Source organism: Homo sapiens, chromosome 16 (genome assembly GCF_000001405.40).
Source record: "Homo sapiens chromosome 16, GRCh38.p14 Primary Assembly".
Taxonomy (NCBI): domain Eukaryota; kingdom Metazoa; phylum Chordata; class Mammalia; order Primates; family Hominidae; genus Homo; species Homo sapiens.
In genome coordinates, this window is record NC_000016.10 from 79331532 (window position 1) to 79346420 (window position 14889).

A 14889-nucleotide genomic window follows, 5' to 3' on the forward strand; every position below is an offset into this window, starting at 1 on the left:
TTTCCAAGACATCCACCGCTCTTCTTACACGAGCCACCCGCATCTCTGGCCTGGACCATAGTCATACCTTCTACCCGCCTCCCTGTTTCCTCTGGGCTCCATACAAGAGCCACAGACATCCTTTAAATGGCTCAGGCACAGCATGGGTCTCCAGCTCTTGGAGAGTAAGATCTAGACTGCTATGGCTCCACATTTCCAGTGTCTTCCCTGGCCTCCTTTCTGCCCCCATCTCCTGCCACTGTGGCCTCATTCCCTCCATTCAGAACCCACACTCCTATCCCTTTTGCCTAGAATGCTCCTCCTCAGATGCCCACCTGGCTCCCTACTTCTCTGCTCTAAGCATGTCCTCAACAAAGAGGCCTTCCCTGACCAACCAGTACAGTGGCATCCTATCTCTATCATTCACTCGACTTTATTTTTTAAAAGTAACATTGCTGTTTGACTTTCCATAGACGTAAAAGTTAATTTGTTCATTACCTGACTTTAGAACATCTGCTCTAGGAGGGCAGAAACTTTGTTTTTGTTTTATTCCTAGAGGAGTCCTTAGCACATGTTAGGTACTCGATAAACATGTGTAGAATGAATTGTCAGACAAGAATAAAAATAAAAACTACTCTTGCTCCAACTCTGCCACTATTTATTGAATGCGTACCATTTACTAGGCACAAAACTGACGTGCTATCTATTCACTCACCTGTGCATATTATGTCATTTAATCCTAACTGCTACTGCCCCTAGGTAAGATTGTAAAAAATAAGCACAATAATAATAATATTTTTTTTTTCTTGAGATGGAGTCTTGCTCTGTTGTCCAGCCTGGTGTGCAGTGGCGCTGTCACATCTCACCGCAAACTCCACCTCCTGGGTTCAAGCGATTCTCGTGCCTCAGCCTCCCGAGTAGCTGGGATTACAGGCGTGCACCACCATGCACAGCTAATTTTTGCATTTTTGTAGAGATAGAGTTTCGCCATGTTGGCCAGGCTGGCTTCAAACTCCTGACTTCAATGATCTACCCACCTTGGCTTCCCAAAGTACTGAGATTACTGGCATGAGCCACCACGCCTGACTCACAATAATAATTATGATAGCTAATATTTATCAAACATGCTACATGCCAGACAATGTGTATTTTATAGCAGCTTCTTGAATCCTTACAGCAATGTCATGAGCGCAGTACTATTACAAGTCTCCTTTGATGGAGGAGTAAACTGAGGCACAGTCTGACGAACAACCAGCCTACACAAGAGGAAAGCAGTGAAGTTAGGCTTTGAGGGTGACTAAGCCTGTCTCCAAAGCCAGCACTATTTCTACTACCCTTTACTACCTGGAAGGGAAGTAGTTTGCCCAAGGTCACCTGCCCCACAGTTCTCCAAGCTGGGATTCACAGCCAGGTGCTGCTGACTTTAAAGTCCATGGTGTCTTTTTGCACGTCACTGCCCAGCTCACCCCCTGTCTCCGGGCCACTGGCAGCTGGACTGGCGCACAGCAGGTGCTCCCCCAGTGCTAGGTGGATGAGTCAGGAATAGCCTGAAGAGAGTCAGCATAAGGATAGGCGCTGCAGTCCTCATTTCCCATCTCAGCGGGAGATGGTGGTCCTGGCTCTGGATTTCCCATCTCAGCGGGTGATGGCGGTCCTGGCTCTGGACTGCGTTGTCTCTTTGGCTCGCTGGACCAGAAGAACTTTGCTGCTGTATCACTTGGGGCTCAGCCATGAGTCCCTTCCAGATGAGGCCTGTTTGCCTTTGTGGATCTGACCCCACCTGAGCTCAGACTCTGGGATCAGGGGTGGGTTAATCGGAATCCTACTCTCTCTGCCTGTCAGAAGTAGTCAGGAGATTATAGGGGACTTTGCAGGGGAGAGTTCTGTAAAAAGTCAGTGGGGCAGACCAAAGAGGACATGACAACAGGCCAAAACGATACGACGGACCATGTCAGCGGCCCTGAGGAGGTGCCCATAGGATGTGCCAACACGATTACCCAAGACCCCAGGAGGCATTTATGTCAATTTTATTTCCATGATTTTGCTAGGTGGACAAAAAGGCAGAAAATTCTATTAAAATTTGATACTGAGTTACATTTTTTAAGACATGGGAATCTTTATGCGTAATGATGAGAATAAGAAAAGAAGAGACAATCTAACGCTGGATCCCAACATCTCTCCTGGATCTAGTGATATCACCACACGCGGAAACCTATCTGATGCCAGATCCCAACACCTCACCTGGATCTGGTGATATCACCACATGCAGAAACCTATCTGATGCTGGATCCCAGCATCTCACCTGGATCTGGTAATATCATCACACACGGAAACCTATCTGATGCCGGATCCCAACACCTCACCTGGATCTGGTGATACCACCACATGCAGAAACCTATCTGATGCCGGATCGCAGCATCTCACCTGGATCTGGTGATATAACCACGTGTGGAAACCTATCTGAGAGCTTTCTTAGGAGCATGCTTTCCCATGAGACATCTCACTGTCTGAATGACTTATTCCTAATTCATATGAAACAAACACAGATAGGACAAGCACTAAATGTGAGACAAACATCGGATGCAGCACATGCTCAAGAGAAGTAACTTCATTTGTTCACCAAAGACACATTCAAGAACGTTCATAGCAGCTTTATTCCTAAAGCTGAGAACAGAAGACAACCCAAGTGTCTGTCAACAGGTGACTAGGAAAACACATTGGGCTGCAGTCGTGCAATGGACTATTGCACAGCGACGGCAAAGAAGGGCTGCTGAGTCATGCAAAAACATGGTCAAAGCGTCCAGACCCTGCAGCGCACCAGGAGCTAGAAGCAAACGAATCCACACCGTACAGTCCCATGTGCGCGCTGTGCAAGGCCAGGGAGGGTGACAGAAGTCAGAACAGCGGTCACCTCTAGGGGGCGCTGACTGAGATTGTGCCCGAGGGACCTTTCTGGGAGCTGGAAATGTTCTATATCTTGACCAAGGAGGTGGTTACATGGGTGTAGACATGGAATAATTCATTGATCTTAGGATTGTATGATTAATTTGCAAGACCCAATGCAAAATGAAAACGAGGGGTCTCTTGCTAAAAAATTCTTAGGACTTTCAGGATAGCAACAGCAGAGCATTCAATGAAAAGCAGGCCCTTCTAAGTGTGGGGCCCTGCATTGTTGTACAGAGCCCATACCCATGAAGCTGGGCCTGGTTAAGCTGAGCACTCGAGGTTAGTGCACTTTATAGGAGTAAAGTAATGTGTCCCAGGCAGGGAGAAAGGATCAGTAGTGAGTTTCCATGCAGGGCAAATTTGGCAGTTATACGTCAATAAAGTGTGTGTGTGTGTGTGTGTGTGTATGTGTGTGTGTGTGTGTGTGTGTTTAAAGAACATACATAGAGGCTGGGTGCAGTGGCTCACACCTGTAATCCCAGCACTTTGGGAGGCTGAGGCGGGCAGATCACCAGGTCAGGAGATTGAGACCAGCCTGGCCAACATGGTGAAACCCTGTCTCTACTAAAAATACAAAAATTTGCTGGGCATGGTGGCGTGTGCCTGTAGTCCCAGCTACTCGGGAGGCTGAGGCAGGAGAATTGCTTGAAACTGGGAGGCAGATGTTGCAGTAATCCAAGATCGCGCCACTGCACTCCAGCCTGGCGACAGAGCGAGACTCCATCTCAAAAAAAAAAAAAAAAGAAAGAAAAAGAACATACATAGAATGAAATAGAAATCAATCATATTTTGGGGGCTGTTGGAGAAGGGGTGATTTTTAATGAAGGATATCTCTTCAAATCATTCTTTATGCAATTTCTATTTGACTTAACTGTGCTTACTTCCTCGTACTATGGCCGACCAGCCTGCAGAGAGCTTGTTAAACTGGCTTCTTCGAAGAAGAAGAGCTAAGTCAAGCTGAAATGTGCATTTGAAATTTATATTTGTATTCAATTCAATTAAGCTTCAGAAAGACCAGGGGGGACAGGAAGGACCCTCTCCAGTGTGTCCTACAGAAATGGCATGGGTAGGAACGGTGATGTTTCAGTCCAGCTGGACTTTCCAGAGGCAGGTCGGGGGTCAGCCACAGAAAGTCTGTGAGACAGAGCAGAGAAGCAGGCAGGGACCCCCAAGGGGAAGGGAGGCAGTGATGTGTCCCAGGCAGGGAAGAAGGATCATTAATGAGTTTCCATGAAGGGCAAATTCAGCAGCCAGGAACCTGCTGCTGGGGCCGGGAATCAGGAAGCGGACACCCACAAACTAGGATGGGTCTTGGCTGCTGGCTCCAACTCTGGTTGGTGATTTTCTTCTCTCTCTTAAGTTTTATGTTCCCTTTTGCTCAGAGGGGACAAGAGGCAGGGGCGAAGAGACAGCCCGGTGAGGTTGGACCTGCCAGGGAAGAGCCAGAGTTTGACCAGGACTCCTGCACTGAGCATGTTTAGAAATAGACAATTCCCAGAGTCCAGCCAGGTTGAGAGCCCAGCTTCTGGGGATGTGGGACGGAGTGATCCTAGCTGCAAAGACACCACAGGGCTGCGCTCAGGGCAGAAGCTAGGGCTATGGAGTGAGGGAACTAGGCTCAAATCTCTCACCCTTTCCCCATCCTTTACCCAGCTCTCCAAGGTCATGAGCAGTGTAAGCTGAAACATGAGGTTAAAGTCTGTAAGCTTCAGGTGTCTCATCTAAAAGTGAGAATCGTAGTAATGAATAACACTTGCTCCACTACTTGTCACATGGCAGCATTACATAAATGCATTATAGACACAGCTTCTTTTGAGCTTCACAACCAACGCACAAGGGAATACTGTTATGATCATCCTCATTTTGTAAAGGAGCGAACCAAGGCACAGAAAGTTTAAGCAACTTGCCCAAGGTCACATAGCCAGTAAAGAACAGAGCCAGGGTTTGAACCAAGGTAGCTTCACTGGCAAATCTGTGTTCCTAATTATTCTATTAGCTTCTTCAGGGATGCTGGGAGGAAAACAGTCAGAAATCCTAAATAAAATTGCCTAGAATGTGGTGGATACTCAACACATTTAGCTTCATTGTCCTATTTTCTTCTATTCCTCATTTCTCTGAAGCTCAGTGGCACTGTCCTATCATTTAACCATTCCAGTTCAGTGTTTGGTTAAGAAGGGACAACACAGGAAGGTTAAATAATTGGCCCAAGGTCACAAAGCTGAGAACATAGTCAAGCATTTCTTATTTTACTCCAGGGAGTTTCATGACTTTTTACTTGGGCACATGAGTCATGCATTTTGCATTTTCTTTTCTTCTGTAATTTGGTGAGGATTTTTCTCTTTTTCAAGTTTGGAGAAGGGGACCACCTTCTGGAGCTACAAATTAATGAATGCAGACATAATCCTGGTTTGGATTTATTTACATCTTCCATAAATCATATTTATTGAGTGCCTGGGGTGTACAAGACGTTGTGAGAGGTTCCACACGTTAAAGCAAGGAAAAAATAAACATTTCAGACACTTGGTGTATACTGCAGACTACTTAAATATCCAAAGGCATCAAATAAATCATCAGACTGTTTAGAAATAGGCTCTGGCATGCTCCCTGCAAACCTTCATACAAAACCCTGCAATTGTGCAATAAGGGCTAAGGACTGGTCGCCGCACAGCACTGGAAATATTTGTTAAGACGAGTGAGTGGGTCATAGGTCCCTGGATTCATTCATGTTTCTAAGTTTGTGGATACCGTGGCCTCCTTCACAATCTCTCTACTCAGACTACCATCTTCTTCAGATCAGCAATGAAAAGAAATGCACCCATAAAACACAGACAGCAGTCAGGCATGGTGGCTCACACCTGTAATTCCAGCACTTTGCGAGGCCGAGGCAGGCGGATCACCAGGTCTGGAGTTCCAGACCAGCCTGGCCAGTACGGTGAAATTCTGTCTCTACTAAAAATACAAAAATTAGCCAGGTGTGGTGGCGCACCTCTAGTCCCAGCTACTCAGGAGGCTGAGGCAGAAGAATCGCTTGAACCTGGGAGGCGGAGGTTGCAGTGAGCCAAGATCGTGCCACTACACTCCAGCCTGGATGACAGAGCGAGATTCCGTCTCAAAAACAAAACAAAACACAAAGACAGCATACCATTTGCAAGCAAGCTGACCCAACCCAGAAACCATCTCCATCGTCTTTAAACATGTCAAACATGATTGTTAGGGGTGAAAGCAGCAGGTGCTCACACACACAAACACAATACATATACACACAAGCACACGTGTGCACCTTATCTCTTTCTCAGCATAGTGGCAGGATCACAGAAGATCCTATCGGACAGTGCTCTGTAAACTATAAAACCCTTCTATGCACACACAAGGCTACTATGCCACACTGTAAGTTCCAAGTAAATGGAATCGTGGCTTTTCCTCAATTTAAATTTCCAGTGGATGGGAAACTACTTACTTCTGATGCCTGTCTTGTAGCTTAGCAGCCGTTCATTCCTTCTTGTATGCACTTCAGATTGAATGGGCACCAGCTTTGTGTCAGGCCCTGTGCTAGGCACTTGGGAGATGGAAATAAATAGGACGAGTCCCTGTCTTTGAGGAGCCCATAGTCCAATGGGGAAAAACACACAAAACATACACGCAAGTCAGCAATTCTAGTCTAGTGGTGTAGTCTTCAGCAGGGCCGACTTTGCAATCACAGTTTGCAACAGTGAAATGCATATATGGAGACAAGGGCCAGGCCGACAGGGGAACCCATGATACGTGTGGAAGAATTGCAGGTCTTCCAAGAAATTGCGTGAGGTCTGAGTGAAGGTCAGGGAGGCATTTAGGGGCTAAATCACAGATGACTTTATATGCTAAGTCACAGAGTGAGATCTCTACCTTGAAAGTGATGGGGAGATATCAAGTATTATTCTGTAAGGGAGTGACAGTATCAGATTTGCTTTTTAGAAATGTCTCTTTTCTATCATTTTTAAAGATTTTCTACACTTTTGGGAGCAGAATGAAGGCTTCAGCAACAATCTACTATGCTTTAGGCAAATCTCGCGGTTAAAGATATCCAATGAGAACAATTTTCAAGCCAAAAAGAACAATCGTGTTGAAAACGTACAAGGTTACAGAAGCAAAATACTTTTTAGAAATTTTCAAGGTTTAGGATGACAGAAGAGAATAAACAAAAGAGTTGAGGAAGAAAAAAAATGGGAGAGAGATGGACAGGAGGGAGAAAAGAGGGAGAGAGGGAAGATACAGGCTTTATAATCTATACACTCGCGACACTTCACTTGGCTCCTTGCTAAGGACATAAATATGCATCAGTTGCTTACCCCATCCGAGCCTCAGTTTTCTTGTTTAAGAAAAGGGGAAATCCTAATTTCTCAAAGGGTTAGTGTGGGTGAGCTGTCCACCTGTGGCCAAGATGGCTAGCTGGCCACCAAAGCTCATGCTCTCTCTTCCATGACATGGAGTTATGGCTCAGAAGGGACACATTCATCAGTCCTCTTTGCAGCCAGGGATGGCCATATGACTATTCTTATCCAAGGAAGGTGAATGTAATGTTGTGTATTACTTCTGGGTCAAGGCTTTTTAATTTTTTATTTTTATTTTTTATTTTTTAATTTATTTTTTATTTTTTGAGACGGAGTCTCACTGTCGCCCAGGCTGGAGCGCAGTGGCACCATCTCGGCTCACTGCAAGCTCCGCCTCCCGGGTTCACGCCATTCTCCTGCCTCAGCCTCTCGAGTAGCTGGTACTACAGGCACCCGCCACCACGCCCGGCTAAATTTTTTGTATTTTTTGGTAGACATGGGGTTTCACCGTGGTCTCGATCTCCTGACCTCATGATCCGCCTGCCTCGGCCTCCCAGAGTGCTGGGATTACAGGCGTGAGCCACCGCACCCGGCCTGGGTCATGGGTTTTAAAAATTGAGTGTGCCTTCTCCATGCTCTTCTCCTTCTGCTGGCTGGGTGCAGATGCCATTGAGGCCCCAGAGGATAACAGACCCACACATGAAAGAAGCCTGGGTCCCTGAATCACTGTATGGAAGAGAGCCACTCTAACCAGAAACTCCTGATCAGACTCTTAGGGGAGAGAGATAGCTTGTGTTAAGCCGCTAAAATTTTGAGGTTTGTTTTTTATATAGCCAGGACTATTCTAACTAATACAATACATTAATATCAGTCATATAGTGTGTAAAAAATAACAATATTATTTGTTATTCCTTGTTTGTTGTTAGTGTAATAAACACCATAGAAAGGGAGAATGCAGTACACCAGCTTTGCAATTACTTTTTACACAAAAGAAACAAAGTACAATTTCAAGATGATTACTTTTCACCAGTCTTTAAAAGAAACTTTTAATCAGCCAGCCCCTTAACAAGATTATCTCTTTGAGGTAAAGCAAAGCCAACACTGGATTTCTTGTCTCCCCTTCTCCGCTAAAAGCATCCTGCCAAGTTCTAACTGCCATTATTTAGCAAGTTCTTCAATTTAAAAAGTTACCATCTACTCACCGTCCTGGCAAAGCTGTCAGTTGCTGAGAAATGGAACACAGCCAACTGATTAGTTTTGATGGACTGCAGCGTGGAAATCCAGTCTGTGTCACTAAAGTGCCTGTTCATCCAATTAACCAAATTACTACGGGGAACTCTAGCCAAGTGCAATACTTAGTGGACGGCTGTTCCGGGAGGTCAGGGACGGAGGAGGAGGTGATTTTATCAAATACCTGCCCCTCCTTCCCTGTCTTTGGTCCAAAAAGAGTGTTAAGCAGAGATAACAGGAGAGCAGCACCTTCTCTACCTCTTCCTGCCTGCCTTCAACACTTTGGTGTCTCTTCAAAAAGATGCCTTGTTATTATTGTCACGATGATGATGATGAGCAGCAGTATTGTTATTTTTAATTTAGTCATGTAACACAGGCTTTTAAAGCACCTACTTTATTCTCTGCTATATTCCCAGTGCCTGGCATAAGAACATAGGTATTCCCAGTGCCTGGCACTGGGAATATAGCAGAGAACAAAGTAGTCAAGGCCATGCCTTTCTGGAATTTGCATTCTAGCAGGGACAGAAAAACAGCCAACAGCAAAATTTTTCACACTTGCCACTCCACTGTTGGCATTTGGGATCAGATAATTCTTTGTGGTGGGACATTTAGGAGCTAAATCTCAGACAACTTTATATGCAAATCCACAGAGTGGGATCTCTACCTGGAAAGTGATAGGGAGACATCGAGTATCTTGCTCATTGTAGGGTGGGGAGCAGCATCCCTGGCCTTGACCTCCTAGATGCCAGTAGCCCATCAGCCACCGCTCCTGAGTTGTGATGACTAAAAATGTCTTCAGGCATTGCTAGATGTCCCCTGGGAAGCAAATCGCCCCCTCATTCCCCATCTTCCATTGGGAACTACTATTCAACCATTAGGCAAATAACTAAATTGCTAAGTGGGTATGATACACATTAAAATCGATAGAAACAGGATAGCAAGACAGAGGAAGATGGGTGGTCAGGTGACATTTAAGATGGGACCTCAAGATGAAGAGGGACCAGCTATGCAAAGAGCTGGAGAAGAGCCTTCCAGGCAGAGGGACAAAGGGACCAAGGCCTGCAGCATGGAAGGAGGCCGGAAGCAGGAAGAACCAGGTGTGATGGAGCAGAGTGTAGGGGCAGGTGTGGGCACACAGTGGGCTGGCAGAAGAACATAGGTACAGGTTCTGGGTCTTGTCAACAAGATAAGGAGTTTGGATTTTATTTTAAGCACAAGAAGGAGAGACAATGTAGTGTGGGTAGGTGCTGGAGCCAGATGCCCTGTACCTCAGTTTCTCCATCTATATCACAGGGACAGCAAAAGCACCTGTCTTGTATAGCGCTATGGTGAGAATTAAATGAGCTCATGCTGTGAAGTGGAACCCCCAGCTTGGTACGGAAGCTCAGTGGCTACTCAGCGGGCTACTGGAACCAGCTCCTGAGAGCTGACTTCATGCATCTCTTCTCAACTCACACCTCTTTGGTATCTCTTCTCAACTCACACCTCTTTGGTAGATTGATTTGAAATTAGCCACAGTGGAATATTTACATTACAGGAATTGGCAGATGCTAGAAATCAGGGTTCTTCCCCACCCCTGGAGTGACTATATAGTTCAGCATTTTCTAGCACACTGCTGGTCATCAGCTATTATTATTAGGTTGGCTATTGAAGACTTTTGAGTAGAGCAGCGTCATGACTTTATTTACATTTTAACAATATAACTCTGGCTTTGGTGCACAGAGTGGATTGCAAGGTTGAAGGAGGAGTGGAAGCAGAGAGATCAGTGAGCAGGCTGTGGCAGTCATAAAGCCAAGAGATGGCCACTCCCATCAGATGCTGATGGGTGACTTGGAGAGTTGAGACTCATCCTGCAGAGAAAGTGATAAACTTGCTGGTGGATTGGATGTGGCAGAATGAACAGAACAGGGATGATGTTTGTGCACTTAGCAGCCAGATGGAAAGTGATGTGATCTCTCAACCACTGCTACTGCTGCTGCTACAACTATTATGAACAACAACAAAATTTATGATTGCCTTTGATTAAGCACCTACACACTGATTATAGATAACATCCACTTATTTCTTTGATCTTCAAAACACCGTGAGAAAACTACAGTTAGAGTTAGCCCCATTTTGGGTATGTAACACCGAATCTCAGAGAAGTTCAGGGACTTGCCCAAAGTCACCCGGCAGGTAGGTGGCACACCCGGGGTCCCAATCAGCTCTCTCCCACTTGGAAGCCCATTCCCACCACACAGCCTGCTTCACTTTCTTTCTATCTTGAATCTGCTCTACAAGTGCCCCTTGCCAAGAAAGAGGGCCCTCGTTGCTCTCCAGCGTCTTTGGGGTTCACATCCAGGTGTGTCTTCACAGTGTTGCATAAGTAAAGACATCCAAGAGGGGCTGCAGCATGAGGCAGTTAAAGGGGCTTGAATCTTGGACCCCCACTTTTTAACACTTCTCCAAAACTTTCTGAGCCTTTTTTTCTTTTATCAGATTTGTAAGGATTCCAAGAGGTGGCCCTAAATTTCCTGGGCAGGTAATCATTATCAACATCATCCCAATCATCACCGTCACCATCTCCATTACCATCACCATCACCATCACTGTCACCATCACCATCATCATCATTGTCACCATCACCATCACCACCACTGTCACCATTACCGTCACCATCACCATCATCATAACAAAATTAAGATCTGTTGAAAGCTAACAATGAAATAGATACAATACAAAACATCTTACTATTGACGCCTACTAGAATTCTGTGAGGTGGGTCACGTTACTAACCCAAAAAATAGATGTAAAAAGCAAGGCCTAGAAAAGACTAAAGAAGTTGCACAGATCACATGGTCCATGCATAGCAGAACCAGAATTGAAACTCATTAAGAGTTCATGGGGTTCTAGGCCTCCAAAGCGTTCGTTCTTACAGTTAAATTGCTCTCCTTACCATTAATTGCTTGAAAAAAGGAAGATGTGCAAATCTTCTCTGGTAGTTTTTTTCATCAACGTTAGAAATATGAGGTTCTTACAGAAAAAAAGTCCTCTTGACACTACCTGATAGTCACCTCAGCTAGCTGGAGACTGTGTTGGAGGCAAGAGAAAGTTAAGACTTGTCAGAACAAGCGAATGAGGTACAGGAGCAAAGAGGCATTCACGTCCCTTCGGGTGACATTGTATCATTCATGAAATAAATGTGTCCTGGTGCCACAAATCTAAGACTATAGCAAATTCTGCCTGTAGGATCTAATCAGCCCCAACCCCCCCCCAAAAAAATCTATGTGTGTGCTCCAGTTCTTCTCTTCCTGGTTATTTCCTCATGAGTGTCTCGCAGCATAGAAGAGGACTTCCTATGTTAGCCTCTGACTTGAGCATCTAGACTGTGAATGACCTCTTCAGAAAAGATGCAACGAGCATATTTGGAACTGGGCAATTGTGTCATATTATTGAAACCCACATCTGTGCAGATAACCCTTGAAGTGTTCCACGGAGTCCACAAAAAATTATACACACCACCACACCAACCATAATCGTAAATGGAAACTTTTTTCATTTTGCTTGAAAACAGATTGCCTGGTCTGTATCATTATTTGTGCCAGTGATATCGATACTTTCCTTGGCTTAGAGACATGCCTAAAGTGATTGTCGTGAATGCAAATTTTGTGGTAAAGGCCATTTATATTAGCAGACTCCTGACTTTTCAATCAATAATCTGTAAAATGTCATCTGGATTATGTCTCTCTTTGGATTATTTATTAGTATTCTTCCTGCTACAAACAGGATGGCAGATTTTTCTGTCTTTGGCAACAGGTCTGAAAATTTCTAAATGGTTTATTGACTTGGTCTTCCTACCCCCCACGGTCCCCTGCACACTCTGTTTTTTCTTGATAGACAACCTCAGGGTGTGGCTCTGACAGTTAAAAGCAAAACTGGACTTCCTAGGTGAAATCAATGTGATGTTTGCATTTATGCATCCTCTGAAAACTTTGAAATGTTCCTATCTGCTCTCTAGATCCTGGTCCAGTGAGTGTCATTTGCTCATCACAGAAGTATCTGCATTCAAAAGAAACTCTGTGAGCATGACCTTGAGGAGGCTTCCAAGAGCTGATCCAAGGAATTTCCTGACACTCCCTGGAAGATGGAAGCTGGTGTTTGCTACACACCTCCTAAGCACTCTGCCTCTCTAGGAGGGATGAAAATTGCATCTATACTGCTCAACAGCCCAGGAGTTAGGAGTCCTTCTATTTACTTTGCAGGTGAGGAAACTGAGGCCCCAGTGAGATTAAATAACTCACCTGAGACTACCCAGCTAGTAAGTGACTAAGGGCGATTAGACCCAAGTCACTGACATTCTTCAAGATCGGGGCTTCCCAAGCTCATATCCAAGTCTGGTGGGTATAAATCTCTTGGGGTCCTAGTTAAGCATATATCTAATTGTCCACAATGGGACAATTTTGAACCTGGAAGAGGGCGCTCTTAATAACTATGCTTGGACAACAGCATACATCAGGACTGTCCCATACAATCCAGGACATAGGTTTAAAGATACTGCCTGAACTAAAGATAGATAGGTTTCCACGTCCCATCTCAGACACATTCAATCAAGTCTCTAGAGGAGGCTCTTGGAAACTGTCTATATAATAAGTATCCCAGATGACTCTTATCATTGCAAAGAGCTGTCCGAATCATAGTTAGCCACTTTGAAGTCATCTAGAGAGCTTACTGAAACACTGATTTTTGGGTTATACCATCCTGTTTATTTATATTAGGTATGTCTGATCTGGTGCTCAGAATTTTGCATTTTTAACACATGCTTCCAATATTCTTGCTAAAGGTAGAAATCATTGTCAAGAACATAAGGACCGATTTGAAATGTAGCCTTCCATTTTGTTACATTTAGAGAGGCAAATCCTCATAACTTTAAACAAATGTATTCTATTCTTTTGTGAAGAATGTAATTAAAAAGAAGGAATATTCTCCACCACTCCCAGGCTGTTGTGTGACCTCAGGGCAAGTTACTTTGCTTCCCTGTGCCCCAGTTTACTTAGATTTACAAAAGGAATAATAATAGGAATATTTCAGTTTAATGAAAGTGTTTAGAATCATGCTCAGCATGTACAAAGAGCTCAGTAAATGTACCCTAACCGTTATTGTTTTCACTTGTACCTCCTTTTTCCCTAACCTGCTGAATGATTTGTATAGTCTTCTCATTTGTCAGTACATTATATATTACTTGATCTGATTATAATATAATGTGCTTCCTAAACTCTTGACCACCCTATTGTCACCTAACTTCTGGTCATCTTTTGTCACTCTGCTCAAAATCAATTTTGTTTAATCCTCATTTCATCCAAATTTGTCCTAAAATACAATGGCGATAAGAATTTTCTAAAATAATAACATGCTAACAATAAAAAGGAGAAAGAACTTGTATTCTAAAAACTGGAAAAGACATCATTAAAATATTTTTTTGGCTAGGTGTGGTGCCTCATGCCTGTGAGAAATTTGGGAGGCTGAGGTGGGTGGATTACTTGAGGTCAGGAGTTCAAGACCAGCCTGGCCAACATAGTGAAACCCTGTCTCTACTAAAAGCACAAAAATTAGCCAGGCATGGTGGTGGGCACCTGTAATCCCAGCTACTCAGGAGGCTGAGGCAGGAGAAGTGCTTGAACCTCGTAGGTGGAGCTTGCAGTAAGCCAAGATCGCGCCACTGCACTCCAGCCTGGCAACAGAGCAAGACTCCGTCTCAAAAAAAAAAAAAAAAAAAAAAAAAAAAATCTTTAACTTGCTTTATAATGTCTCTATAGTATTCCATTTTAAGTGTATATCATATTTTAGTTAACCAGCTGCATATTGCTGGAGATTTAGGTTGCTTTGATGTTTGGGTACTGTAATTATTTGTTTACTTATTTTTTTTTTGCTTTGATTAGCTATAATTTCCTCTAGATAAAGCCAAAAGAATAATTTTGAATTTGATCAATTTCATTCTGTTATGAATGGAGTTTGAAACATAAATCAGCAGCTTTTCTACTATGTTTCTCCGATAGGGCTCATTCTTTTTTTTTATACTTTAAGTTCTAGGGTACATGTGTACAATGTGCAGGTTTGTTACATATGTATACATGTGCCATGTTGGTGTGCTGCACCCATTAACTCATCATTTAGCATTAGGTGTATCTCCTAATGCTATTCCTCCCCGCTCCCCCCACCCCACTACAGTCCCCGGTGTGTGATGTTCCCCACCCTGTGTCCAAGTGTTCTCACTGTTCAATTCCCACCTGAGTGAGAACATGCAGTGTTTGGTTTTCTGTCCTTGCGATAGTTTGCTGAGAATGATGGTTTCCAGCTTCATCCACGTCCCTACAAAGGACAGGAACTCATCCTTTGTAATTCTTTCTCACCTCAATTTGTTCTAATGAAAAACAAGGCCAAGAATTGGCTA

The 14889-nt window shown here is 44.2% G+C and overlaps 1 protein-coding gene across 5 annotated transcripts in view, besides 1 other annotated feature; it reads right to left on the minus strand.

The window, feature by feature from the left end:
• The window catches only part of MAF (MAF bZIP transcription factor), a 398116-nt gene that overhangs the window by 128910 nt on the left and 254317 nt on the right, over window positions 1-14889 (minus strand). The window lies entirely within an intron of this gene.
• Window positions 8427-8627: a silencer, noted in NCBI's record as "peak2651 fragment used in MPRA reporter construct". NCBI's record gives its function as "represses an SCP1 promoter by STARR-seq MPRAs in K562 erythroleukemia cells {active_cell/tissue: K562}" and the evidence as "EXISTENCE:reporter gene assay evidence [ECO:0000049][PMID:32103011]".